We start from the raw sequence: 26,830 nt of genomic DNA, 5'->3' as shown, positions 1-26,830 counted from the left end.
CTTTGGACTTTTGAGTTAATGCTGGAACAAGTCAAGACCTTGGAGGACTGTTGGGAAGGCATGATTGTATTTTGAAATGAGAGAGGGACATGAGATTTGAGAGGGGCTGGGGCAGAATGATATAGTTTGTGTACTTATCCCCACCCAAATCTCATGTGGAATTGTAATCCCTAGTATTGGAGGCGGGACCTGGTAGGAGGTGATTGGATCATGGGGGTGGATTACTCATGAATCGTTTAGCACTATCTGTTTGTTGCTGTCCTTGTGATGAGTGACTTCTCATGAGATCTGGCTGTTTAAAAGTGTGTGGCACCATGCTTTCTCTTGTTCCCGGTCTGGTCATGTGACATCCCTACTCCCCCTTCACCTTCCATCATGATTGTAAGTTTCCTGAGGCCTCACCAGAAGCCAAGCAGATGCCAGCATCAGGCTTCCTGCAAAGCCTGAAGAATCATAAGCTGATTAAATCTCTCTCTCTTTTTTTTTGAGATGGAGTCTCATCCTGTGGCCCACGCTGGAAGGCAGTGGCACTATCTCTGCTCTGAGGCTCAAGTGATTCTCCTGCCTCAGCCTCCTGAGTAGCTAGGATTACAGGTGCATGCCACCACACCCAGCTAATTTTTGTATTTTTAGTAGAGATGAGGTTTCACCACGTTGGCCAGGCTGGTCTCGAACTCCTGACCTAAGGTTATCTGTCCACCTCAGCTTCCCAAAGTGCTGGGATTACAGGTGTGAGCCATTGCACCCGGCCTCTTTTCTTTATAAACTACCTAGTCTCAGATATTTCTTTTTGGCAATGCAAGAATGGCCTAATACACCAAGATTTGTGTTTTCACCATTTTTTTTCTGTTTATAACCATGTTATTTTACTGTTTATCTGAGAAAAGAACCTGGCCTGTTAGTATTTTTTATCGACTGACAAACTCACCAGAATAAAGTGGGTATTAGGACCCTTGGTTCTGCAAGATTTTGGTAACAGAATCTGTTTTCACTAATTGTTGGGAAACAGAAATGATATTCCTTTTAGACCTAGCTCCCTAAACCTTTTCCTCGTTTTGCTTTTTGGTACAATAATGAGGGCTGGCAGGGCTACTTGACACCATTAGCAGTAGACAAATTTTTCAATAAGGACTAACAGAGAAAAACTATGGAAATTCTGATTTATTGTTTGGCCGAGAGAGTTCTCTGTCTCCTTGTGCCCTTGCTCTCCATGTATATTTTATGAGACATTTCAGCAAAGGCATCTCTCAAAATTAATCCCATAGCTGTCTCCTTCAATTCTCCTCCTTGAAACTCTTCACCAATCTTCATAGGGCCTTGGCCACTTCTTGAGGGCCCTCCCACCAGATGATTAAAGGCAATACAGTGAACGAAAGTCTTATTCCGAGACTTGTCTTTGTAAACTTAGTGATCCTTCTTCCTTTTCACTTACGAAAATTTAAAGAGAAGCAGTCTCAAATGTGAACTGAATGCCGTCCCATTACTCCCCCAAACTGGGAAGAAGCTGGTCATATACTTGCACATTTATATAATAAATATTCAAAGACTCTAATCTGGTATCTTCCATATAACACACACTTTAACTCCTATTTTAAACTTTCAAAAGGCTTTTTATGGCATCTTATGCCCTACTTTAAAATGTCTGTCAGCCTAATATTTCTACTTTTTTTTTATTAATTTATTTTCAAGGTCATGTGTGAAAACAACTTTCAGTGAAAAGAACCCATCTGCTTTGACAAAAATGTACACTATAAACCTTCACTTCTACAAGGGTCTAAAAAAATTCAAGGGTTTGATTCGAATGCTTCCAAACCACATTCCCTAAAGCATGCTTTGTGCAACACTAGGAGTTGGTGCAGCAAACAAAAACAAGGAATGGGGAGAGGTGCCAGGCAGGCGCGGTGGCTCATGCCTGTAATCCCAGCACTTTGGGTGACCCAGGCAGGTGGATCACTTGAGGTCAGGAGTTCGAGATCAGTCAACATGGTGAAACCCCGTCTCTTCTAAAATACAAAAATTAGCTAGGTGTGTGTGCACGTAATCCCAGCACTTTGTGAGGCTGAGGTGGGTGGATCACTTGAGGTCAGGAGTTCAAGACCAGCCTGGCCAACATGGTGAAACCCCATCTCTACTAAAAATACAAAAAAAAAAATTAGCCGGGTATGGTGGCACACACCTGTAATCCCAGCCACTCAGGAGGCTGAGGCATGAGAATTGCTTGATCCCTGGAGGCAGAGGTTGCAGTGAGCAGAGATCATGCCTGGGGAAAAGAGAGAGACTATGTCTCAAAAAAAAAAAAAAGAAAAAAGAAATAGGGAGAGGGAGTGATGCTACATACTGAAGCTACCTACCCTCTTTAAAATTCAAAATGCAGATTATCATCTTAAAGAATTGTATGCATTTTAAAGTGAAGGTATTTGTTTAATTTTGTTTAACCTCTTATTTCTCAAAGTTACTTGATTACAGAATTCTTTTCGGGTATGCATGCAATACCGAGCAACATATGACCGAGCTAGGGTTCCATGGTACACAGTTTGGAACTTGTGCTAGAAAATGTTACTCATTATTTTATAAGAAGTATTATTCCAAGGCATCTATGCATTGGAAAATAATCTTGATATGAAATATGACTCGATCCCTTCTCATACCATATTTACAGGGTATGGTGGTTAACTTTATGTGTCCACTTGTCTCTTAGCCCATCCTGGGTTAAGGGATGCCCAGACAGCTGGTAAAATATTATTTCTGGGAGAGTCTGTGAGAGTATTTCTGGAAGAGATTAGCATTTGAATCAATAGACTGGGTATCAAAAACCCATCCTCACTAATGTGAGTGGGCATCATTCAATTAACTGAGCATAGGAATCATAAAAGAGGTGGAGGAAGGCAAATTTGCTCTCTCTTCTGAAGCTGGGACATCCATCATCTGCTCCTGCCCTTGACTTCAGAGCTCCAGGTTCTTGAGCCTTCAATACCAGCAGACACTCTTCAGCCCTTCAGCTTCACATGCAAGAATTACACTGGATTTCCTGGTTCTTCGGCTTGCAGGGGGCACATATTGGAACTTCTTGGCCTTTATAATCTCCTGAGCCAATTCCTATAAGAAGTGTCTTTATATATCTATATATATCCCATTGGTTCTGTTTGTTTGGAAAACCCTGATACACAGGGCTATCTATAGCTCACCCCCCAAGTACTAAGTCTCCAGATGATTATTAGGTTCTTATAAACACAAAATATATATGCTTATTTTGTAATATCAGGTTGTTAACTTCATCTGAGTAGTTTTCAGCACATATGATGGGGATAAGTCATCAGTTATGACAGACAACTTCCGGAGTTACATCACCAATGTTCATCTATCACTCACCTTTGCTTCAAACTTTATGCATCATATTCAAGTTAATTCCTATTGCATGTACTTCTGATTTCCACCTACAAAATGAACATTAAATTTATTATTTCCCTCATTTAAAAAAAAAGATTTCAGGCCAGGTGCAGTGGCTCATGCCTGCAATCACAGCACTTTGGGAGGCTGAGGCGGGTGGATCACTTGAGGCCAGGAGTTCAAGACCAGCCTAGGCAACATGATGAAACCCCTATCTCTACTAAAAATACAAAATACAAAAAAAAAAAAAATTAGCCAGGTGTATGTGTGCCTGCAATCCCACCCCTACTCAGGAGGCTGAGGCAGGAGGATAGCTTGAGTTCTGGAGGCGGAGGTTGCCGTGAGCCAAGATCACGCCACTGTACTCAAGCCTGGGCAAGACAGCAAGACTGAGACTCTGTCTCAAAAAAAAAAAAAAAAAAAGTTTTCAAATCACTTTTTCTCCTTTGCAGTTCAGCATTGTCACTAAAGGTGTCCAGGTTAGACAGAACTGGGTACAAACCCTCCTTTCTCTTCCCCTTACTCTTTCACCTCTTCATTTGTGACATGCAATGTTAACCCAATACAACTCATGAGTATTCAGAGATCCCGTCTGTATACGTCCTCAGCCTGACATACTGTAATCCTTAGGCATCCTTATTAGTAATAAGATGTCCTTGTGTGATTTTTTCACAAACTTTTCACAGACCCTATCTATGTTCATTCCTGGAACCTCTGGCACATTCTTCTTCCTTCTCTTCCCAATCTCAACTTTTTCATCCTCTGAATCTCCCTATACTTTCCCCGTGGACAAGCCTCTAGAAATGTTAAAATGTCAGATCATGATTGGTAAATCTGTAGTGACTAATTGCCCACTGCTGCCTATTCCATCTGACCTAAATTCCTCAGGTCTTCTAACATTAAGACCTCTTCCTGGCCGGTTGTGCTGGCTCATGCCTGTAATTCCAACACTTTAGGCAGCTGAGGCAGGCAGATCACTTGAGGTCAAGAGTTCAAGACCAGCCTGGCCAACATGGTGAAGCCCTGTCTGTACTAAAAAATACAAAAATTAGCCGGACCTGGTGGTGCGTGCCTGTAATCCCAGCTACTCGGGAGGCTGAGTCAGGAGAATCACTTGAACCCGGGGCAGCGGGGGAGGCTGCAGTGAGTGGAGATCAAACCACCGCACTCCAGCCCAGGTGACAGAGCAAGAGTCAGTCTCAAAAAAAAAAAAACAAAAAAAAAAACCTCTTCCTATAGCTAACTCCCACTTACCACCCCCATCATGAACACTCTTGATGTATTTACATGGTTTCTCCTTCGAACATCCTCCTTTCTTCTTTCTTAATGGTTGTTATCAAATACCCTGATAAAAAACAAAAACAAAAAACCTCCTCTGAAGGTCCCTTATTCACCCTTCCAACGCTACAGGTCTGTAACTCTCATTTTCTTTTTAAAAAATTTTTATTTTTTTAATTTATTTTATTTTTTTTTTCAGACGGAGTCTTGCTCTGTCGCCCAGGCTGGAGTGCAGTGACACGATCTCGGCTCACTGCAACCTCCACTTCCCAGGTTCAAGCAATTCTCCTGCCTCAGCCTCCTGAGTTGCTGGGATTACAGGTGCCTACCACCACACCTGACCTCAAGTAACCCACCCACCTCGACCTCCCAAAGTGCTGAGAATACAGGTGTGAGCCATCATGCCTGGCCAAAATTTTTAAATTTTAAAAAATATATTTTATTTTTTGTAGAGACAGGGTCTCATTTTGAGCCCAAACTGGTCTTGAACTCCTAGGCTCAAGTGATCCTCCTGCCTTGGCCTCCCAAAATGCTGGGATTATAGGCACAAGCCACCAGGCCTGATCCTTACTTTTCTTCTGATGAATTCACATATATGTGCACAAATACTTTATACTAAATTGTATTTACTGATGTACTTTTTTCACTGTGCCTTTTCTTTTTCTTGCCCAGATATTTTTCTCATATAAACATTAGCTCCTTAATGGGAGCAAATGAACCAGTTTTTTTTTAATTCCCACCCAAAGTGAGAATATAAAAATTTTTTATTGATCCACCAATACTGAACACTTTCATTTCTAATAGTTATATTTAACTGAATAAATTACACACGGGACAAAAATGTTATTTAAGGGATAAAGTTGGGTGTTTGCTCAGGGACAACGTTGTATATTGAATGATTTGGTGCTTTTGTGAATTTATCATTCAAAAGACCATCGTGATGGCTAAATAACAGAAAGGAGAGCTTTATTGGCAATATCAATTTGCAAACCCGGAAGACATAGTCTTCGGTGTATGCTGAATGTGGTCTCTCTTCAAAAGAGAGGAAGGACAGTTGGGTTTCATGCCTCACAGGGTCTGTTTCACACAGTGGAGTCATACATATTCAGCAGGTTTGGAGGAAAAGATATACATATTTATGAGGGGAGCTGAGTGCATGTGCAATGGGTAAATATGTATGTGACATCCCATGTACACTTTGGGGCAGGGTTTTAGTGTTAAAATGAGGTAAAATTTGGCTCTTTACATCAAAAGGTGAACTACAGGACCCAAAGACAGTTTGTGCACAGCCTCTAATAAACTGGCTGACACTGGCTTAAGGTCTGCAATTGCTTATCAGAAAAGAATGTTTGTAAGGCTGGTCCTCATTCCAATTAGAGTTGTAGTGGTCTGGGTTGTAAATCACAGGATGGGGCTGATAGTTCCTATTATTAGGGAGTTTAGAGCCATAGAAATTGAGAAATTGGTCATGCCAGCCAGTCCCCGAACCCTAACCCTGTAGGTAACTTTGTTTCCTTAACCTTACAGTCCATCTTAGGTGATAAAGGGGTGTCTGTTTTGGTATCTCACATCACAAATTGTTGGTTGGTTTGTGTGTTTGTTTCATCATTCAGGATGTTGTTTCTTTAGGGAATGTGAACCTGAATTCTCAAGGCTTGTTAGACTGTAATGTTCCCATTCATTTTAGGTTTAGCTCATGCTTCTCTAGCCACAGCCTTCACTTGGATTTTAAAAGTTGAATTACTCATCAAAGTCTCTAGGACACGAAAGACAATCCTTAGGTATGATTTGACCAGTAAAAAAGAGATCCAGCTGCCTTGAAGCATAAGATCCCCTCGGCTCCAATGTCTATCACTAATATTCAGTGTGGCAAGGATCCCAGGCCACAGAGCTGTGGCTTCCTGCAGCTGCTCTGGGGAGTGACTCTCTTGGAGCATGTGATGTGGTCTTCCATTGTGCAGGACCAGCCCAGTGGCATCCTTTCAACACCTCTGGCAAGCAGCCTTTCCAAGCACGGTGCCGTCTGAAAACAGGAGGCATATCTTTCACATCCTAGGCACACGCCCTAGGGAGTGGTCAGGGTTTTGTCCAGTTCTCAGCAAACTAGCTACAGCTCCATCCCTTACTCCCACACTCAAGAGAGATACTAGAATACAACTGAGAGTAGCCTGATATGATGCTAACCTCGAGTTGCTTTTATTTAAATTAAAATAAATCAACCAGACACAGTGGCTCATGCCTATAATCCCTGCATTTTAGGAGATCAAGGAGGGTGGATCACGAGCTCAGGAGTTTAAGACCAACCTGGATAACATGGCAAGACCCCATCTCTACAAAAAGTACACAAATTAGCTGGACATGGTAGTGCGCACCTGTAGCCCCAGCTACTCTGGAGGCTGAGGTGAAGGATCACTTGAGCCCAGGAGGTAGAGGTTGCAGTGAGCTGAGATTGTGCCACTGCTAATAATTAATTAAATAATTAATTAAATTAATAAATCGTGCCACTTTATTAAATAAATAAAACAAGAGTAAATCACTCACAAATTTGGAGCTTTTATTAGCAAAACATTACTTAGGAAATCTAAATAAATAACACGGGGTTGACAGCCATTGTTCTAACTGGCAGCCCCTGGCAAGCTCAAAGCCAGGATTATGCTGGTCACTTAAGTGACAGCTATTGCGAATTGTTGTTCTCTCAAGAAAAAAGAACCGATTTCTATGGTAAACCAGGCACTGTGCTGGGTGCCTTTACAATTCATCACCACACCACCTAATGAAAGGAGCATTCTTCAGAAACTGTAGTGCTCAGGCTTTCTCAAGGCCTGAGTTCTTTTCCACCAGAGCATATTGTTGCCCTATTATCCAAAGTTCTCTAAGGAAGAGAACTGACGTAAGACCCACATGGCTCCATTACATCTTCTGGCTACTTGATTGATTTTCATACTCCCTACCTCTGGGGTTGGTATGTACTATCTATTTCTTTCTCCTCTCGTTCTTCCTTTTTATTCCATAAAATACAGGAATATTCCTGTACATTAGTCCTTGCAGCAACCTTGGAATTACTACATTCCTCAAACAAGTTATGGAAGCCAGCTGCCAATATTGGTCCCTGGTTAAACAGTGAATTCTGTTGTTCCATAGAGTTACTACTGAAATACCTAAGCCATTTTGTAAAATATAATTTAGTTGATCTGAAGGCTGTCTCTAAAGCAGTTTTATGTAGTGATTACAGAGAAGGACTAATTTCAAGAGTATTTTATTGTTTAAAAAAATGTAAACATTTTATGGATGCACTAGTGAAGTAAAGACCAATAAATGAAGCAGTAACTTTAATAAAAGGGTAAGTAAAATGTCACATCCTCTGCCTATATTCAGGTCTGTTAGGTATGTGTAGTTAAATGTAGGTAAGTTAGTTGATAATTATTTATTTAAGCATTTCTTTATGTCTACTCATTAAAAAGAAAAAAAGATTAAAAGAATGTTACTATGTGAAAAACTGCCCATCACTGGGGAAAAGAATTTTATTATGCAAAGCTTCAACGCTATTTACAGTTTAGACTTTTGTAGCTATTGAAGGCTGACATTGAGATAAAGAAGTTAATCATGTCCTTCTGTCTTGGAGGAGGTAGAAAGAGATGAGAATGAATACAATTCAGGATCTACTTCTGGTCTTTGATGAGGAGTTAGCACACGGTTCTGGGAGGAAAGACAGGTTAAGAGGCATGTGAAACTCTCAAATACGTCACTGCGTCTGCCAACGTACATGATACCCAGCAAGCTCACATCTTCATGGAAAGCATGGTAATTCCCAACACTACCGGAAGTCTGGAGTGGCTAAGTAATCCATATATTCAACCAGGAAGCAGCTAAAGAAATATTCTAATTACCTAGGAAGGTTTCTGATTTCAAAAGGACATGAATAAAAAGTAGAAGGAATCCACTCCCAAGGACGGACATCAGAGTAGCTTAAAATGTGAGAATAATTTTAGGGGAATTTTAGAGGTTTGGTTATAGACTTATGTTCCCCCAAAATTCATATGTTGAAGCCCTAACCCCCAGTACCTTAGAACATGACTGTATTTGGGTAGGGCCTTTGAAGAGCTAATTAAATTAAGGCCACTGGCGTGGGCCCTAATATAATCTGGCTGGTATTCTTGTAAGAGGAGGAGATTAGGACACACAGAAATACCAGAGGTACCTGTGCAGAGGAAAGAACGTGTGAGGACTTAGCAAGGGTGCAGCCATCTGCAAGCCAAGGAGACCTCTGAGGATTCCAATCCTATCTGCATCTTGATCTTAGACTTTTCTGGAACTGTGAGAAAATAAATTTCTTGGTTTAAGCCACCCAGTCTGTGATATTTTGTTATGGCAGCTCTAGTAAACTAATACAGATTTTAAATGTCATTAAATGTCAATGTTTAAGCTTTGACAAAATTTTCTAAAGGAAAGTATAAAAGGTCATTTTCTTTCTTTTCAGAGCCTGATGATTGCGGGAGGGGTAAGCCAGCTGCATGGGGATCATGATGCAATGCTGATGCAGGACAGACAGAAAGTAGATCTCTTCCATTTCTATTTTTTTTTTTTCTGTTGAGTTGAATGATCTTCAGACTGAAAATGAAAGAAAGGTCACTGGAAATAAAGGCCAAAGATGAGTGACAGGATTATAGAATAAGTCTTAGCTGTTCTAAAGAAGGACATATTATGTACCCCCACCCCCAAATTCATATGTTGAAGTCCTAACCCGACAGTGTCTCAAAATGTGACCATATTTGGAGATAGGGTCAAAGATGTAATTAAGGTTAAATGAGGTCATTAGCATGGATCCTAACCCAATATCTGCTGTCCTTATAACAAGAGGAGATTAGGGCACAGTAAGACACAGAGGGAAGACCATGTGAGAATACAGGGAGAAGGTGGCCATCTGCAAGCCAAGGAGAGAGGCCTCAGAAGTAACCAACTCAGCCAACACCTCGATTTCAGACTTCCAGCCTCCTGAAATGTGAGGAAATACATTTCTGGTGTTTGATCCATCCAGTCTATGGTAAGTTATGGCACCCCTGCAGGGTTCATCTGGCTCAGACTTAACGATTGCTTTTGGTGATATTTATAGGGCACAGATAACAGCCTAAACACAAGACGACAGAAACGCGGCCCAGCAGACTATGCATAAAATAGAAATGGGGTATCTGGACCAATTGGAGTCTGCAGTGGGATGCGGTTACTAAAACAGTCAAATGCAACATGAGGCTCCAGGCAGAGTAGTGGGCAACATCTCCCATGTTGCAGCAGTCAGAGCACACTTCGAGTACTGTAAAAAGACACAGACAAGCCAGAACACATTTAGAGAATGGCCAAGGTGTGGAAGGAACCAGAAACCATGCCATTATGCAACTGTTGAAGGAAGTGCCTGTTTTACCTTGTGAAGAGAAGACTCTAGAGGAAGAAGTAGCATGAAAACCGCTGGCAAATTTGTAAAGATCTGAAGTGTGGAAAAGAATTATTCTGCTTGGTCACTGGGGATACAAGGATATCTGAGTGGGAGTTTAAAGGCGGGGGATGTGAGCTTTAAATGGGATAAGAACATTCTAGTAACCAGAAATGCCCAAAGATAGAATGCACAGTCTGGAGAGCCAGTGAATATCTCACAAATGGAGACACTTGAAACTAGGATGGGGATGCTGTTGTAGGAATTCCAGCAGACAAGTGGTTGTTGGTTCCTTCCCCAACTTTGTAGGGTTATAACTAGGGATGTTCCTGCGTTTTCTGCTTGGAGGATCTGCAAGACACCTCAGGGCAGGAAATGGCATTAAATGCAGAACAGAGCTAGTGGCTGAAAAGCAAAAAGCCATCAGGATCTCTGAGTAGTGAAGGAACCAGAGAACATGCAGGCAATGTCCATCATTCTGACGCAATCAGCAGCATAATCATCTTCCCCCAGGAACATCTTGACCAGGGAATGTGTCAGTGTGGTGAATTTCAACAGTGGAAAGAGAAACTGCTAAATCTAAGAACTTTAATTTTTATAGATTATGATCTCATCTCTACAATTTTGAATTTCATGCTCAATAAAAGTTCCTTACTCTCTTTTTTTTTTTTTGAGACGGAGTCTCGCTCTGTCGCCCAGGCTGGAGTGCAGTGGCGCGATCTCGGCTCACTTCAAGCTCAGCCTCCCGGGTTCACGCCATTCTCCTGCCTCAGCCTCCCCAGTAGCTGGGACTACAGGCGCCCGCCACGACGCCCGGCTAATTTTTTGTATTTTTAGTAGAGACGGGGTTTCACCGTGTTAGCCAGGATGGTGTTGATCTCCTGACCTCGTGATCCGCCCGCCTCAGCCTCCCAAAGAAAAGTCCCTCACTCTTAAAGTTGCCTCCTCCTTCCCAGGGCTGGCTTCATGGGCATGCAACCCTGGAGAGTCTCACAGGCCCTGCGGTGGGAGGAGCCCCATGCTTGGTTTAACGCTCTGCCATTGCCATCTTAAAATTCTTAATTTAATTTTTTTTCTTTTTTTTGAGGTGGAGTCTCGCTCTGTCGCCCAGGCTGGAGTGCAATGGCACAATCTTGGCTCACTGCAACCTCCGCCTCCCAGGTTCAAGCGATTCTCCTGCCTCAGCCTCTGGAGTAGCTGGGATTACAGGCAGGAGTAACCACGCTCGGCTAATTTTTGCATTTTTAGTAGAGATGGGGGTTTCACCATGTTGGCCAGGCTGGTCTAGAACTCCTGACCTCAGGTGATCTGCCCACCTGGGCCTCCTAAAGTGCTGGGATTACAGGCATGAGCCACCAGGCCCGGCCTTAAAATTCTTAATAATGTAACAAAGGGTCTCACGTTTGCATTTTGCAGTGGACTCTGCAAGATTTGTAGCTTTGGACCACGTTTCTCTTTGCATTCAGATACCTTCTTTTTTGCCTTATTTGCTCATGCAGACCCGGAACAAATACGGAATTGCGGTGGGTAAATGTGGTGCAGAAAGTGAACAACTGGGTTTGTCCTGTCACTTTAGGCTTTTCCCTGCTGTCCCAGCTTCATGTCACTTACTTGCTATTAGATTTGGGAGTTCATTAGCTTCATTTTCCTGATGTATAAATAGGAATAATAGTAACAGCCTCTTTGGCTTTTGTAGGAAGTAAATGACATGAAGCGTATAAACAAATACTGCATGACAATAAATATTTGTCCTTATTTGTTGAGGACATCCAAAGGACATTCAGGGGCAAAAGTAATCCAAGAGTCAAGACTGAATGCCTAGTGCGGGAAAAGACACACAAGACAACATTTAGGGGAGCTGGTACAGAAATGACTTCCCAGGAAGGAAGTCTGTACCCCGCTGGCTGAGCCATCCTTCCCGGGCCTAGGCACCCTTGTCAGCGCAATGAGCAAGGGAGAGAAGGCAGGCTGCAGTGCAGCCCTCAGAAGGGCCAGAGCACTCCCTGGCTTCAGTCCTTCGCTCCAAGCCCTGTGTGGAGTGGGCTGTGGCTTGGTAACTAAATGCTACTTCAGGTCAAGAGCAGGGGATATATCTGGGCAGTTCTAGAGCATTCTAAACTATCTGGACACTAACTGGACAGTGGACGGTTTGTGTTTAATCCAGGAGAAAGTGGCATGGCAGAAGGTTCATTTCTATAATTCAGGACAGACACAATGAAGAACAAGGGCAGCGTTTGAGGTCAGAAGTCCTCATTTACGGGGGTCGAATACGAATGATCTCTCCTAATTTTTCCTTCTTCCCCAACTCAGATGGATGTTACATCCCTGCTTAACAACAAAAAAAGACCCCCCGCCCCGCAAAATCCACACTGACCACCCCCTTTAACAAAACAAAACCAAAAACAAACAAAAATATAAGAAAGAAACAAAACCCAAGCCCAGAACCCTGCTTTCAAGAAGAAGTAAATGGGTTGGCCGCTTCTTTGCCAGGTCCTGCGCCTTGCTCCTTTGGTTCGTTCTAAAGATAGAAATTCCAGGTTGCTCGTGCCTGCTTTTGACGTTGGGGGTTAAAAAATGAGGTTTTGCTGTCTCAACAAGCAAAGAAAATCCTATTTCCTTTAAGCTTCACTCGTTCTCATTCTCTTCCAGAAACGCCTGCCCCACCTCTCCAAACCGAGAGAAAAAACGAAATGCGGATAAAAACGCACCCTAGCAGCAGTCCTTTATACGACACCCCCGGGAGGCCTGCGGGGTCGGATGATTCAAGCTCACGGGGACGAGCAGGAGCGCTCTCGACTTTTCTAGAGCCTCAGCGTCCTAGGACTCACCTTTCCCTGATCCTGCACCGTCCCTCTCCTGGCCCCAGACTCTCCCTCCCACTGTTCACGAAGCCCAGGTGGGCCGTCGGCCGGGGAGCGGAGGGGGCGCGTGGGGTGCAGGCGGCGCCAAGGGCGCGTGCACCTGTGGGCGCGGGGCGCGAGGGCCCCTCCCGGCGCGAGCGGGCGCAGTTCCCCGGCGGCGCCGCTAGGGGTCTCTCTCGGGTGCCGAGCGGGGTGGGCCGGATCAGCTGACTCGCCTGGCTCTGAGCCCCGCCGCCGCGCTCGGGCTCCGTCAGTTTCCTCGGCAGCGGTAGGCGAGAGCACGCGGAGGAGCGTGCGCGGGGGCCCCGGGAGACGGCGGCGGTGGCGGCGCGGGCAGAGCAAGGACGCGGCGGATCCCACTCGCACAGCAGCGCACTCGGTGCCCCGCGCAGGGTCGCGATGCTGCCCGGTTTGGCACTGCTCCTGCTGGCCGCCTGGACGGCTCGGGCGCTGGAGGTGGGTGCCGCGCCTCGGAAGGCGGGGGGAGGCTGCACGGTGGGGACGCGATACCCCCCAAGACCTTAACCCAAGTCTTTAATGCAGAGAAGCCGGGGGTCCGTCAATGGGACCCCTCTCCTCTCCGCCCCCGCTTGCGGACGTCCAGCGCATCCCCGCTTTCGGCCCAGCCCTGCCCCAGGGAGTCGCGCTCCGGCCCGCTGAGAGGGAGCGGGCGAGGCGCTGGTCTCCCTGGTTCCGCGCCAGCCCGGGGCGAGAAGGGTAGGGGGCGACCCTGAGCCCAGACCCCGACTTAGTCCCTGCCTTGGAAGCGGGGGTCGGGGGAGGCGAGAGACATTCAGACAGGGGGGAAGGGGGAAGGAGCACGTGGGGAAAACCGAAAACGCAGCGTCCCTAAAGCCAGTCCTTCGCTCTTGAATCGTTGCCCTTTCCTTTCTCTTGGGCCCTGGGGAGGAGGAGGAGGAGTCGGGACAGCCCAGGAAGCTAGGAGCCCCTCGCTTTTCCCTGCGTTCTCCGCCTCGTTTCACCTTCCTCTCTCACCCCCATCCCCCTTCCTTGCTCCAACCTCTTTTCGCGGCTGCTGGCGGCGGCAGCCTGGGTGCGACCCTAGCCCGAGCCGGCGTCGGGGTCGCGCACCGCCTTCCACAGGCAAACTTTGTGCATGTCCGCGTCTCCCTTTTGTGTAACTTGCGAGAAATGGGAGGGGTCGGAGACCCATAGCCACCCCGCGCCTTCCCCAAGTCTGGACGTCCCGGGAGTTCGCTCGCACCCTAAGCTCTGTCTGAGAGGCAGAAGGTCCGCGGGAACAAAAGCCGCGACACCCCGCCCTCGCCGTGGGCCGAGCCGCGTTAGTCTCAGTGCGCCACCGAGGCTCCCGCCCGGCTCCCTTCCCGGGGCTGCGCGTCCGCCTGGGAGGGGGCAGAGACGCTGCCGGGGCTTCTGGCGGAGCCTCGGGGCCCCTCTGCTTCCCACCCTCGGATCACCTCCGAGGCTTAATTCTGTGCTGGGCTGTAAAGTCCTTGGCGGGGAGGAAATAAGGCGGAGAGTGGGATGTGCGTCTGGAAAGGGCAGTGGCGGATGGTGGGGAGGCACGGGCTCTGTCCTGTGCATCCAAGGAGGCGTTTGTCTGATTAAGGCGCGGCCTCTTCCCTGGCAGCTCTGGGGACTCTGGTTTAGTTCCCCTGGGGGCACAGGATGCTGGGGAGGGTCCGAAGGGTCTTTTTTTTAGGGTGCAGATAAAAGGATCGAATTGAGTGAAGATTAAGACGGAGAAGATGGCGCCTCTGCAGTGCAGCAAAGAAAAGCTGTGTGGAGGCTGCAGCCTAGTGAAATCCACCCACCACTAGGTGTATAACAAGTCTTCCCCATTCATCCAACTCTCGAACATTCAGCTAACGCCTGTGCACAATGACTGTTTTTCTTTACATCTGAAGATGCTTAGAAGTTGTTTGCATGACAGTTGGGCCAGAGGAGGCTGTATTTCACTTCGGACTTCGGTTGGGTTCCTGTTTGGCATCTTAACATTTGCAACCTTCCTTACCCGTTTTTCCCCTCTTTTCCCCCAGCCTCCTAGTAATTTTCCAAAAGAAAAAAAGCAATTTCCGGGCAGATGTTTTCCTGTAATTCCACTGAGGCTGTACAGACTATCACACCATTAGTTTTTTAGTTTCTAATTTGCAAGGTCATTGAACTTTTTTCTCTTCTGATTTTTACCCACAAGTGGCTCAGGAATCACCTTAGGGCTAGTTAAGACAGGTTGTTTTAAGAGTTAAAGAATTTCGTTTTCCATGTTTTAAAAAAATGCACTTAACTAAGAGAATTCTGATTTCTCTCATGACTTACTTACATTTATTTGTAGAATTATTCCAGTTTTCCCGAATGGTCTTACTACAGATTAAAAACCATACATTTAAGGAATTAAAAGCATATGATAACCGTATTTTTGAAGCTTTTGTCAAAACTTAAATATGTAACTTTGTTGAGCAATATTTCTTTCTGTATAAAAAGAGGAAGCATGTAGGCAGATTCGAATTTAGTTTTTGGTCTGTTTAATTGCATTAATATGCTCTTTCTGCCATCTTTTGGGACCTTTTCAGTAGCTATTGTTAACTCCTTTAAAGGGTGGAGGTGAGATTCACATTATGCCATTTTGCGAAGTGTTGGTAGAAGGGTAGGTAATTCAGTCTACTGAGGTTTGAGGGTGGTTTATCTGGTTCTCTCTGTGTCCACTGAAAAGATGTAATTACGAGTTGACTGTCTTTTATAGAGCTTAGAAAATAGGTCTGCTGCAGGTGGCTGTAGAAAAGAAATGAATAAGGGCAATGATAATGGGGCCTTGGCTATCGGGGGAAACATGGTTATTATCTGGGTTGATGATTTTGGCTGGTATGTTGATAGAGGTGTGAGTTTAACAAACCCTAATCTATATGATGTTTCACTACCCTAATATTTATTTATTTATTTATTTTTAAATCTAGCTTCCTCTTAAGTTTTATTTCCCTCTGTTGAGGGTTTAACCTAGTCACAATCATCTTACCTTTGTGGTAGTGCTAATTTATAGTTTATGGAAACCTGCTGCTACTGACTAGTACCTCGCTAAAGGTAGAAGCCGACACACAGAATAGTAAAGCTCAGGTTTGATGGTGATCTGTAAGGAGTCACGGTTCTTGCTAATCGATGAGAAACCATGATAACTGGCAGACTGCAGAAGCTTTTCTCTTGTCACCGGAACCAGCAGAGGCTCCTGAACGACATTTGCAAGGCTATTAGTACTGCGGAGAAGTTACTAGATGGAATAATACTGGTCCTGACTGAGGAAATGAAAAGGAACATGCAAGTTCACGAGGTTAAATGAGGAATGGCTGATTCAAAAAAATTAAAAAGAAATAACGTGATCAACAATATTGGTTTGAAGGAATGGGAGAGGTTGTCTTTATGTTAAGTCTTGTTGCTAGAGGATCTCTATTTTATGTTACTGTTTTTTGCATACTAGAGTCTTCTACAGATATTTGTATGAATGTTGTCAGTCATTCTGGAAATAAGCATAGCTATTACTTGCATTTCACGTGGCCACTAAACTATCAGTGAGAAGTGCATTAAATTCAGTAGAAATGTACATTGTTTCTGCAAATTGTATTACCTTGAGAATCTTACAAAGCATCTTTCATTAATACATTTCTTTTAAAATCTCTATCAATTACAAATGTAAAGATAAACCTGTACAGATGCATTTTAAATTTAAAGCTTCCAGAATGTAAGGTTTAGTTCGACTGCATACCTCATTACCTCCCCTTCCCTCCTCCCTCCCCTTACTCCCAGGAAGTTTGCAGGGTAAATAAAACATGCACATGATAATAAAACAAAGTGGAATGTACTAAAATACCAAAAGGAAAATACAGATTAGGTATACTGAGTAAATATGTTACAGAGAAAACTTCCTGTATTTAAAAAGTAAGGAACAATGGGATGAGATCATAGATAATCCTGGAGCATTTCCTGGTAGTAAATTTCCAGCCAGGTTTATATCCCAGGTCTGGGGATTGGAGGTTAAGTTTCTGCATATACAATATTTGTTTACATTCCTCTCTGCCTCTACCAGACAGACAGACAGACACACACACACACACACACACACACCCTCTGTCTCTTTCTCTCTCTTTCTCTCTCTCTCTCTCTCTCTCTCTCTCTCTCTCACTTGAGTGACAGATGCTGGTGCAGGGTATTCTCAACAGGAGTAGGGAATTTGAAATAAGGAGTTGAGAGGTCAAAGGTAAGGGGCTGAATGCAGGACCAGAGAGCTTCAGTAGCATCTTGATGGGCAGAGTATGAGATGAACAGTGGCAACGAGGAGGATAGGGAAAAATCACATTTTCTGTTTGTGTTTTGTTTTTGTCTGGTGGTTTTCAACCTCTCTCTGTTTCACTTGACTATGCTTGATTATGAAATCTTTTTTTTTTCTTTTTTTAATTTAAAGATCTCAACTGGCTTTGTTGTGATTCTACATTCAGGCAACACTATTCTGTAAAATAGTATAAATGTTCCGATGAGTTGAACAGAGGAGATTGGCTTTGTAGACAGAAAAGGGCTGAAGAAAACAGAAATAAAAAAATCTTTTCCTTTTCATAGTGAGAGCTCAGATGCAAATGTATGGAGTGGGGATGGATGGGAAATGCCGTCTTTTGCAAACCCTTGGAAACGCTGTCACCCTGTGGGTCTCACAGCCAGTGTACAGATAACACCCTCATCTGTACACAGAAGACAGAAGGTGGCAGGGGAAGGAATGAGCACACCCCAGAATGAGTAGCAAGTTTAATCAATAAAATATGTATTTCTTTTTTTATTGTTGTATAAGAAGAAAAGCAGACAGAACTCAAACCCTGAAGCTGATTTTGCAAGTGAAAAGCTTAGTAAAGGGGGAAATGTTATGTAACTATTTTTTCAGTTTAGTGTGGATGGCTTAAGAAATAATCATTACTGTGAGGACACTAGTATTTTTCTTGGAAAAAAAAGTTTGGCAAATTTTCCTCTTTAGATTAATCTTGGTTATAGATTATTATTATGCTTGAGTGGTACCTCTTCAGAAGTAGAAATCTGGCAAAAACTGGAGTACAATGATTGCTCTAGGAATAAATTCACATATTTAAATTTAAAAGCCTGGATATGTGCATCAATTAATAGCTTTATGAAACAGGGATGCTTAGTAGATTAGCTAGCTGAGTATTCAGAGAGGGCCACAGAAGTCTCAGGTTCACATGTATTAAATCTGCTGAAATAGAAACCTAAGAGATCATTTTATTTAGGTTTATTTTGTGTGGCTACATGTTGAAGAAACATGCAATAGAGATTTAGCTTGAACCTTGCGAGACTCACAGTATCTTACGAAAGAAGATAGTTAAAATGGGGAAGATGAGAGGTTTTTAAAAATGTCACCTCTGTAGAACGAACCAGAGTTGTTCTCAATTTATAATGTTGAATTTGATGCCAGGCGTGATGTTAGGCCAATAACACTGAGTCATTGAGTGTTTCTCAGGTATGTAGAGAAGGCAGCATTGCACACTAATCAGGAGAGTTTAGACCAGGGCAGGAATGCATGGGCATAAATTCTGTCTTTGTTTCTTTTGAGCTAGTGACCATGGGCAAGTTTCTGTGCCTCAGTTTTTTCCTTTGTAAAATGGGATGAGTACTTCTAGTTATTGAGGATCGAATTAATATCTTTGTTAAATGCTTGAAACAGTGTGTGAGTTAATATATATGTAACCTGATGGCATAGCATAAGCACTGTGTGTTAGTTGCTGCTATGTATGGTGATGATGTTGATGTACAATGGGTATATGTAAGTTTCCTGCATAGTTGAAAGTTAAAAATCTAGATGATGTTTCACTTATTGACAAATTACTTATTGGCCAATTAAGACTATTGCAGGAAATTGACAGATTGTTGTCTATGAGTTTGATCTAAATTTAAAAAGCACATGGTATCTCAGATACAATTTTTAGAATACATGTTATAAAATTTCATTTATTAAATATGTATTGTGTATTTCAATTGGTTTTTTGAAAAATGAAAATAATTCATGCTCATTGAAAAATTTAAAACAGTACAGAAATGTGCAAAAAGCATAAGCATTTTTTACACAAATGGGAAATACCTAGTTTTTTTTTTTCTTTTTTTCCACATAACATGGATGTAGACCTTTTTTTTTTTTTTTTGAGACAGAATCTCCCTCTGTCACCCAGGCTGGAGTGCAGTGGCGCGATCTCGGCTCACTGCAACCTCCGCCTCCTGGGTTCAAGCGATTCTCCTGCCTCAGCCTCCTGAGTAGCTGGGACTATGGGCACTCGCCACCATGCCCAGCTAATTTTTGTATTTTTTAAGTAGAGATGGGGTTTCACCATGTTGGCCAGGCTGGTCTCAAACTCCTGACCTCAAGTGATCTGCCCACCTCGGCCTCCCAGAGACCTATTTTTTAATGTTGTACACACTGGCAGCTTGCCACAGATGTCTAATATTGAGCAAGTTTATACACTGGCTTGATTATTAACTATTAGTTGGCTATCAGCTATGTGCAAGGAACTGTGAACAGACTTGGTTTAGTTTTCAGTAGAATCTTTGCTAGCAAAACGAATAAACAGGCTTTGCCAATCTGGGTAGAAATGGAAGATTTCAAATGCCAGCAAAAGAATTTTGGTCCTAATATGGAAGCTTGAAGTTATGTTCACCCAAGGACAGGGAAACCAAAAAGCAGATTGCTTGAGAATGCGGCATTTCTCTAGGAAATCAGTTTCAAAATAAAATGAATTTTTTGTTTTGTTTTGTTTTTGAGACGGAGTCTCGCCCTGTCGCCCAAGCTGGAATGCAGTGGTGCGATCTCAGCTCACTGCAATCTCCGCCTCTCAGGTTCAAGCGATTCTCCTGCCTCAGCCTCCCGAGTAGCTGGGATTACAGGCGTGTGCCACTATGCCCAGCTAATTTTTATATTTTTAGTAGAGACGGGGTTTCACTATGTTGGTCAGGCTGGTCTCAAACTCTTGACCTCGTGATCCGCCTGCCTCGGCCTCCCAAAGTGCTGCGATTACAGGCGTGAGCCACCGCGCCCAGCTGCAGTAAAGTGAATTTGTGTAACCAGCCATGTTATGGCTGTTACATCTTTAAAACTTTATAGTGATCTGCTGTTTAATTGAAATTATATATTTTTTTTAAAAATCAGCATATGTTGCTCAAAAATAAAAGGTTTTTAGCTTCAAAAGCAGGCCAAGGATATTTGAAAGCCTTGAGTGTATGAAACTGGTGATACTGTGGTTAAATGATGATGAACGCAGGGAAAAATCAAGAAGCAGAGTCCCAAAGAATTCACATGGGTTTTTGTTAACCAGCTCATGTAATTATAATTGTCCTGTCCAACTAAAGACAAGAAGACAAGAAGTGGGTTCACATACGAGGATGTGTAATGACAGAAGCCATATTTGTGATAAACATCCTGATTACAGTAGATACAGTGAGGAGTGATTAAGATGGTTCCAGAAGCAGGAGTGGAGGGTTCATGAGCAGGGATGAGGAATAAATAGGACAAACATTTTGGAAAAGGGAAAAGATGAATAAGCCTGTTTTGTAAATTAATGGATCCTGATGAATGAAGTGCAGTGATTCCTTAAGGTCTTATTAATGATGGACCCCAAACAGTGTTTGAATCTCTTAATTTCCAGATGGTTCCTTTTTTTCTTCACAAAGTCAGAAGGTTTTCTTATGAGAAATTTGATTCAACAAGAATAATTGTCACTTCTTTTGTTTTTTGGTGATTTTTTTTTTTTTTTTTTTTTTTTTTTTTGAGACTGAGTTTTACTGTGTCACCCAGGCTGGAGTGCAGTGGCGTGTCTTGGCTTACTGCAACCTCTGCCTCCCGGGTTCAAGCAATTCTCATGCCTCAGCCTCCTGAATAGCTGGGTTTACAGGCATGTGCCACCACGCCTGGCTAATTTTTGTTTTTGTTTTTTTTTTTTTTAGTAGAGACAGGGTTTCACTACATTGGCCAGGGTGGTCTCGAACTCCTGACTTCAAGTGATCCACCCACCTAGGCCTCCCAAAGTGCTGGGATAACAGGTGTGAGCCACTGCACCTGGCCAATTTTTTGGTGATTTTGATAGGAATTTTTTTTTTTGCCTGATGCTTTTTTTGAGAGAATCTAATAATTTGTCTCTTATTTAATAATTTGGCTTTCATTAGCTTCCAGAAAGCCACATACTGTCTTCATTGAAAAATGTAAGGCATCCTAGATGATACAGACTGATAAATTACTTTTCAGCCATAAAAGATACTTATGAGAATAAGAGATCTGTTGCATAAAGAAAAGTCATTTGTGTTAAGTGAAGAAATGCATTATTACTCTTGCTGCTTTGCTAAATTTCAAACATTGAATAACTAATATATTTTGACCCCCTGGAGATATTTTACAGGAAGAAAAATGAGAGGTTTAATCCTACTGTTGAGATAGACTTAACGTGTTTTAGACCTGCCCCTCATCCCAAGTTACTACAAACTCATTTGTTTAGTTTTTCCTTGTCTGTGTGCTCGTTATTTCACAGTAAAATTAGTGAGGCAACATAAATTTTATTTTTAAGAGAAAGTAAAGAAAATGGCTTTATCCATTAAAGGTTTATTCATCTTAAAAAAGGACTTGTTATATCTACTCCTACTATTGGATGAATTTTCAAAAGCATATTGATACTGTGTTTGGTTTTGTTTGTTTTCGGGACAAGTCCTCACTCTGTCACCCAGGCTGAAGTGCAGTGGTGTGATCTGTAGCCGTGGCCTCCTGGGCTGAAGCCATCTTCCTGCCCCAGCCTCCAGAGTAGCTGGGACTACAGGCATGTGCCACCACATCTGACTAATTTCTTAAATGTTTTGTAGAGATGGGGTCCCCACTATGTTGCCCAGGCTGATCTTGAACTCCTGGGCTCAAGCGATCCTCCTGCCTCGACCTTCCAAAGTGCTAGATTACAGGTGTGAGCTATTGTGCCTGGCCAATGTTGTTTTTATAAATATCATTACTCAGTTATTTTGTTTATAATTGAATTGATAGGCTCATAGAATAAAGATGGATAAGCACTGTTTCTTAACTGTATTTATTGATTTTTTTATCTTTCAAAAAAAAAATCCTCATCTACTTCAAAGATTAAGCCTTTAAAACCGATGCAAAGTTTTTGAAGTCTTAGCTTAAGTCTTCAGAGACTAACATTAAAACCCATCATATGAAAAGTGATATGTAGTAGCAAATATTCTCCATCCTGATGCTCTCAATTGCTTATTATGGTTTAACACAAATATAATTTTGTCATTACAGTAAATTAGTTTGAGGATATAACTGAAGAGTACCTAAGAAACTCCCATAGAAATGTGAAAATATGCAGACTAATTATTCTAAGAATAATTAATCATAGATACTTACATATTAAATTGATTAGCAATTTAAAATTAAAGCCAAATTTCTGTGGAAATTAGCTTATTTTCATACACAAAGAAACCTAGATTCTTAGGGGTACAACCAAGAAAGGGCCACTCCTTCATTTCACAAATATTTTCGAGGTCCTTGCCCCCAAGAGGGTAGACAGAATAAAAAGGAGGAAGGAAGTGACTTGGAAAAAATTAAGTTGGGTAAGGAATATAAGAGAATGCTACGTAGAAGGATGTGTGTTGTGAATGCAATAGTTTCTGTAGTATTGTCAAAGTTCTCTGATCATTTCAGTATGTGAAGGTAAACTTAGATAACTGGGGGAAGGAACTATATATTTACTACATTGTAAAAGAATAATTGTAGACAGAAGATCTACTTTGGGTGATTAAATGTTGAAAACAAGTGGTGGGAGAGAGAAGTTAGTGTTGATTGTGATCACACACTTTTCTATACAGTAATTTGTTTGATCACTCATGATAATGCCTTACATTTTGTATGTACTAAATAAATGAGTTCTCTAGAAATTCTATGTTGTGGTGATAAAGAATTACGTTCAGATTGAAGATTCGAACAGCTGTGCAACCTTCTCAACATTTAAGAAACTGCGAACAAGCATAGAAAGAAGATTAAAGCCTTTTAAATAAGATTCTTTTTTTTCAGCCTCTTTTTGGAACATTTTATTGTGAAAAGGTTTCATAAATACTGTCAATACATCACGTTCAGTCATTTGCAATTGTATTTCAAAAATTCAGTTGGCCTGCAAAAAGAAAAAATGCCTCATTTTTGAAATATTTCATCCATGCCCTGATTGATTGGGACACTTTCAATAGAGGGTGCCTAGACATAATTTTGTGTGAAGAAGTTAGTAGAGTTTGGAAAGAAAATGTGTATTGGAATTAAATTTAGTGGCATGAAAATGAAAATTTCTCTGTCATTGTCTTTTTTTTTGGCTCCTTTTTTGGCCATTTTACAGCTAGTGTTTAGTGTGACAAGGATCAAAATTGGCCCTTTAAAAAAATATATTGAATTCTATTACCTCTGTTATCTAAAAGAATTGTATTTTTCAATTTGAAGAGCTTGAAGCCAATACTACTATATACCATTAACTTGACAGGAATTGAAAATCTAATTGAGGTCATTATGATTAGCCTTGTATCTTGCTAGTATTTTCTCAATCTTATTTTGAATGTTTTGTGTCAAGTGTTAAATCCTCTTATACCACAGAATCCAGAAAATTTAAATGCAACAGAAGTAAAACGAATATAAAAATTCTATGGTTGTTGTGGAGGGGCGTTCTTGGCTAACCCATAGGGTGTTTGAATGTAAAGGCAGCTTACAGAACTGCTGCTAGTTGAATTGTGGAGGGTTTCACTTTTAAGAGTACATTTGAGACAAAATTGCAATTTTGGAATCACTTATTCCTGCTTGTTCAGTGAAATAGGAGAGGGGGGAATTCCTGAGGGAAGCTGGGAGATTTCCAGGTGATGATAGAGTAGCCATGTGAGTATTTGGCTGAAACAGAGTAGAAGCCACCTCTGTCTGTTGGACAGAGGTGGCCTTAACACTGAGTATCAATCAGCATGGCCATTAGAGCTGTCCAGGACAAACATAATGAATGTTGTGGTGGCAGAGAGGGTATACTTAAATGAACAAAATTGGAGGCTGACTTTCCTTGTTTCTTGGTAGTTCCTTTCTTCGTATTTGCTATTTGGATATTTCACTTCACTTTTGTGAGCTAGACTCAAAGGTTAAATTTATATCATTGTGAATTTTCTGGGTCATATTGTAGGGACACAGATGGGAAGCATCCCTTCAGTTTATTGAGAGTATTTCTTATGCGCATGTGTTTTTAATTGTATTTATTGATTTAATAAATAGCCGATGAGATGAGAAAAAAATATTAGTGTCTTGTTGTTGCAGAGAAAAAGACATTGGATGCATTCTTAGAATTTATTATCACATGCGAAGTTATTTAGATTTACAAAGCAATCTGACATGTTGACTTCATTGCTCGTTTGCTCATTTCTATCAGAGGTTGAACACAAAGCCAAGCCTAAGCCCGTGATTCTTCTGTGTGCAGATGAGGGGGAAGGTTTAATGCAGAATGTTTAGCTGAATATTTGGATTGTGCATTCCCCTTTTATGTCTCTACTGCAAGTTTTCTCAGGGCATTTGTGATTGACTTCTGTGATGTTGACATTTATTTGGAGTTAGATGTTTAAAAAATTACTAATTTATGGCCTGGTGCGGTGGCTTACACCTGTAATCCCAGCACTTTGGGAGGCCAAGGCGGGTGGATCACGAGGTCAGGAGATCCAGTCCATCCTGGCTAACATGGTGAAACCCTGTCTCCACTAAAAATACAACAAATTAACCGGGCGTGGTGACAGGCACCTGTAGTCCCAGCTACTCGGGAGGCTGAGGCAGGAGAATGGTGTGAACCTGGGAGGCAGAGCTTGCAGTGAGCCATCGTGCCACTGCACTCCAGCCTAGGCAACAGAGCGAGACTCCGTCTCAAAAAAAAAAAAAATTTACTATCTTATTGTTTCTCTCATTTTGAATTTGTGAAATTATTATTCATTTTATGGACATACTGCATGGATTCTGTGTTTCAGTTATGACAGGAGATCTAGAATCTGGGTGGGGCTGTGAGTAAATAGAAAGGTAACTCAGTCTGTGCCTTGAGGAATTCCGCAGTCCAGTGGAGGAAGAAAGAGACGGAGAAATAATTAGGTACAGTGTGCCAAAGGCTATAATAGAGGAGGTACAAACTCTTCCCAGAGAAGGCAGGCAGAATTTGAACTAGGTTTCAAGGATGTGTGAAGGTGAACTGGGGTGGGGAGGGCTTCCCAGACAGAAAAAACAGCGAGGGTGTAGAGTTTCAAAGGGGGAAGCCCAGGGGTATAATAAGTGAAGGAGACAGTGTGAAATTATAAATTTTGGATGCCCTTAATGAGTTTGAACTTCATTTTCTTAGAAATGGAGTACTTTTAAATGTTCCTAAAATGGGGACGAGGCATTGATATTCATGGTTCAGTTAGGTTTAGGAGCTTTTGTAGAAGTCCTTTTCAAGGTCTGCTTAATCTCATGGGCCAGATAGTGACACCTCGATGCAAGGGAGCATGTAAATGTGCTCTATTAGCTGGGAGCATTGCTATCAGAAATTACATTTCCGGCTCTCTTCTTAAGGGTAAAGGAGAGGTAGGATATTGAGTGGCAACTGGCATTCTGGGATGTAGAAGAAATACAGTACCATAAAGGGATAGAGGAAAATGGGTAGACTTAACGTTCTGAACCAAAGCTAAGATTCTCCGTGAGCGATTAGAGTAGGCTTTTGGGATTTGCTTACCTTCTCTTATCTGCTAGCCAGCCACACAGGAAGCACATCTTTGTGGAGTGACAGAGGAGGAGGTAGGAAATGCTTTCTCATTTTTATGGTAGAAACATCCAAGAGCTGAGCCTTCATTCTGGCTGAGAGAACTCTAGATGGTTCAGACTTGCATTCCTGGGAAGGCCTTCCAGCTAGAGTGATGGAACAAAGCAATGATTTCTGTGGCCCTGTGTGGACAGCAGTGGCAGTCAGTTTACTCTCCCTGTTGGTTAACTGTCTTTCGTTTGATCTAGAGACTTCCTCAAAACAATTTTGTTGTGCTTGTTCTTTGAAAGCAACAGCAGACAAAACAAGCTTTGAGGTTTTTAGAAAAGAGCTTGACACTGAGCACCTCTTTTGAGCTAGATCTGTCTGTCATGCTGAACCTGTTTTCTGTGGCTGCGTAGCTTTTCAAATCTGTTTATGCTTGCTGGTGTTATTGAAACAGAATGGGAAGATCTATGCAAAAAGGAACATTGATCTTAATAAATTTATGTCAGTAAGAATGGGACTGCCATTTTAAAATTTATTTTAATTCCTTACCTATTTTCTTGTTCAATTATTCTAAAAGTGATTAAATGAAGATACGTCACAGAAAGTATGCTTTGAAATCAAGATGTGGGGAAAACCTGTAGTTCTGAGTAGGCCTGATAGAATCATCATTGTTAGAGTATTTGGAGGTTTTGTAGTAGGGATTTTGTCTTCACTTAAATATTTAGTTGAAATATGTTCCAATAGTTTGACACATTACAGAATCTGTCTGAAAGAAATGTCTAAAATATGATTCCTCAGAAGCTGCTCTTGGTTTTACTTTCTGCTGTTGGTTTTACTTTCTAACATTTCATTTTGATCCCGCAGTTTTAAGAGTAATCAAAAAGGCCGGGCACGGTGGCTCACACCTGTAATCCCAGCACTTCGGGAGACTGAGGTGGGTGGATCACTTGAGGTCAGGAGTTCAAGGCCAGCCTGGCCAACATGGTGAAACCCCGTCTCTACAAAAAATACAAAAATCAGCCGAGCGTGGTGGTGCATGCCTGTAGTCTCAGTTACTCGGGAGGCTGAGACAGGAGAATCCCTTGAACCCAGGAGGCGGAGGTTGCAGTGAG

At 42.3% G+C, this 26,830-nt stretch overlaps 1 protein-coding gene and 1 long non-coding RNA gene across 12 annotated transcripts in view, besides 5 other annotated features; one reads left to right on the top strand and one right to left on the bottom strand.

The window, feature by feature from the left end:
- Positions 1–13,104, bottom strand: part of APP-DT (APP divergent transcript) — a 46,518-nt gene extending 33,414 nt beyond the window's left edge. The window contains exons 1-2 of one of the 2 annotated variants that reach the window (NR_186396.1): positions 12,919–13,104; positions 3,370–3,434 (exon numbers count right to left, since the gene is read on the bottom strand). This is a non-coding gene — a long non-coding RNA (APP divergent transcript). The remainder of the gene's footprint in view (positions 1–3,369; positions 3,435–12,918) is intronic. The other variant, NR_186395.1, reaches the window with a different exon arrangement.
- Positions 12,843–26,830, top strand: part of APP (amyloid beta precursor protein) — a 290,579-nt gene continuing 276,591 nt past the window's right edge. For 9 of the 10 annotated variants that reach the window (NM_001136129.3, NM_001136130.3, NM_001204303.2 and 6 more), the window contains exon 1: positions 13,201–13,407. In NM_001136129.3, coding sequence (NP_001129601.1) covers positions 13,351–13,407 — 57 coding nt within the window. In that variant the 5' untranslated portion in view covers positions 13,201–13,350. Of the gene's footprint in view, positions 12,987–13,200; positions 13,408–26,830 lie in introns of those variants that run through there. The other variant, NM_001136131.3, reaches the window with a different exon arrangement.
- Positions 12,849–13,678: a silencer, noted in NCBI's record as "silent region_13236". NCBI's record gives its function as "represses an Ori minimal core promoter by ATAC-STARR-seq in GM12878 lymphoblastoid cells {active_cell/tissue: GM12878}" and the evidence as "EXISTENCE:reporter gene assay evidence [ECO:0000049][PMID:35858748]".
- Positions 12,849–13,990: a biological region, named in NCBI's record as "H3K27ac hESC enhancer GRCh37_chr21:27542299-27542823".
- Positions 13,466–13,990: an enhancer, noted in NCBI's record as "H3K27ac hESC enhancer chr21:27542299-27542823 (GRCh37/hg19 assembly coordinates)". NCBI's record gives its function as "activates a minimal SCP1, AML or CMV promoter by ChIP-STARR-seq in primed H9 embryonic stem cells {active_cell/tissue: H9 hESC(primed)}" and the evidence as "EXISTENCE:reporter gene assay evidence [ECO:0000049][PMID:30033119]".
- Positions 14,179–14,448: a silencer, noted in NCBI's record as "silent region_13235". NCBI's record gives its function as "represses an Ori minimal core promoter by ATAC-STARR-seq in GM12878 lymphoblastoid cells {active_cell/tissue: GM12878}" and the evidence as "EXISTENCE:reporter gene assay evidence [ECO:0000049][PMID:35858748]".
- Positions 14,489–14,698: an enhancer, noted in NCBI's record as "active region_18321". NCBI's record gives its function as "activates an Ori minimal core promoter by ATAC-STARR-seq in GM12878 lymphoblastoid cells {active_cell/tissue: GM12878}" and the evidence as "EXISTENCE:reporter gene assay evidence [ECO:0000049][PMID:35858748]".

The sequence above is a fragment of the Homo sapiens genome, chromosome 21, assembly GCF_000001405.40.
Source record: "Homo sapiens chromosome 21, GRCh38.p14 Primary Assembly".
NCBI lineage: Eukaryota > Metazoa > Chordata > Mammalia > Primates > Hominidae > Homo > Homo sapiens.
This window is presented reverse-complemented; position numbering and strand designations above follow the sequence as displayed.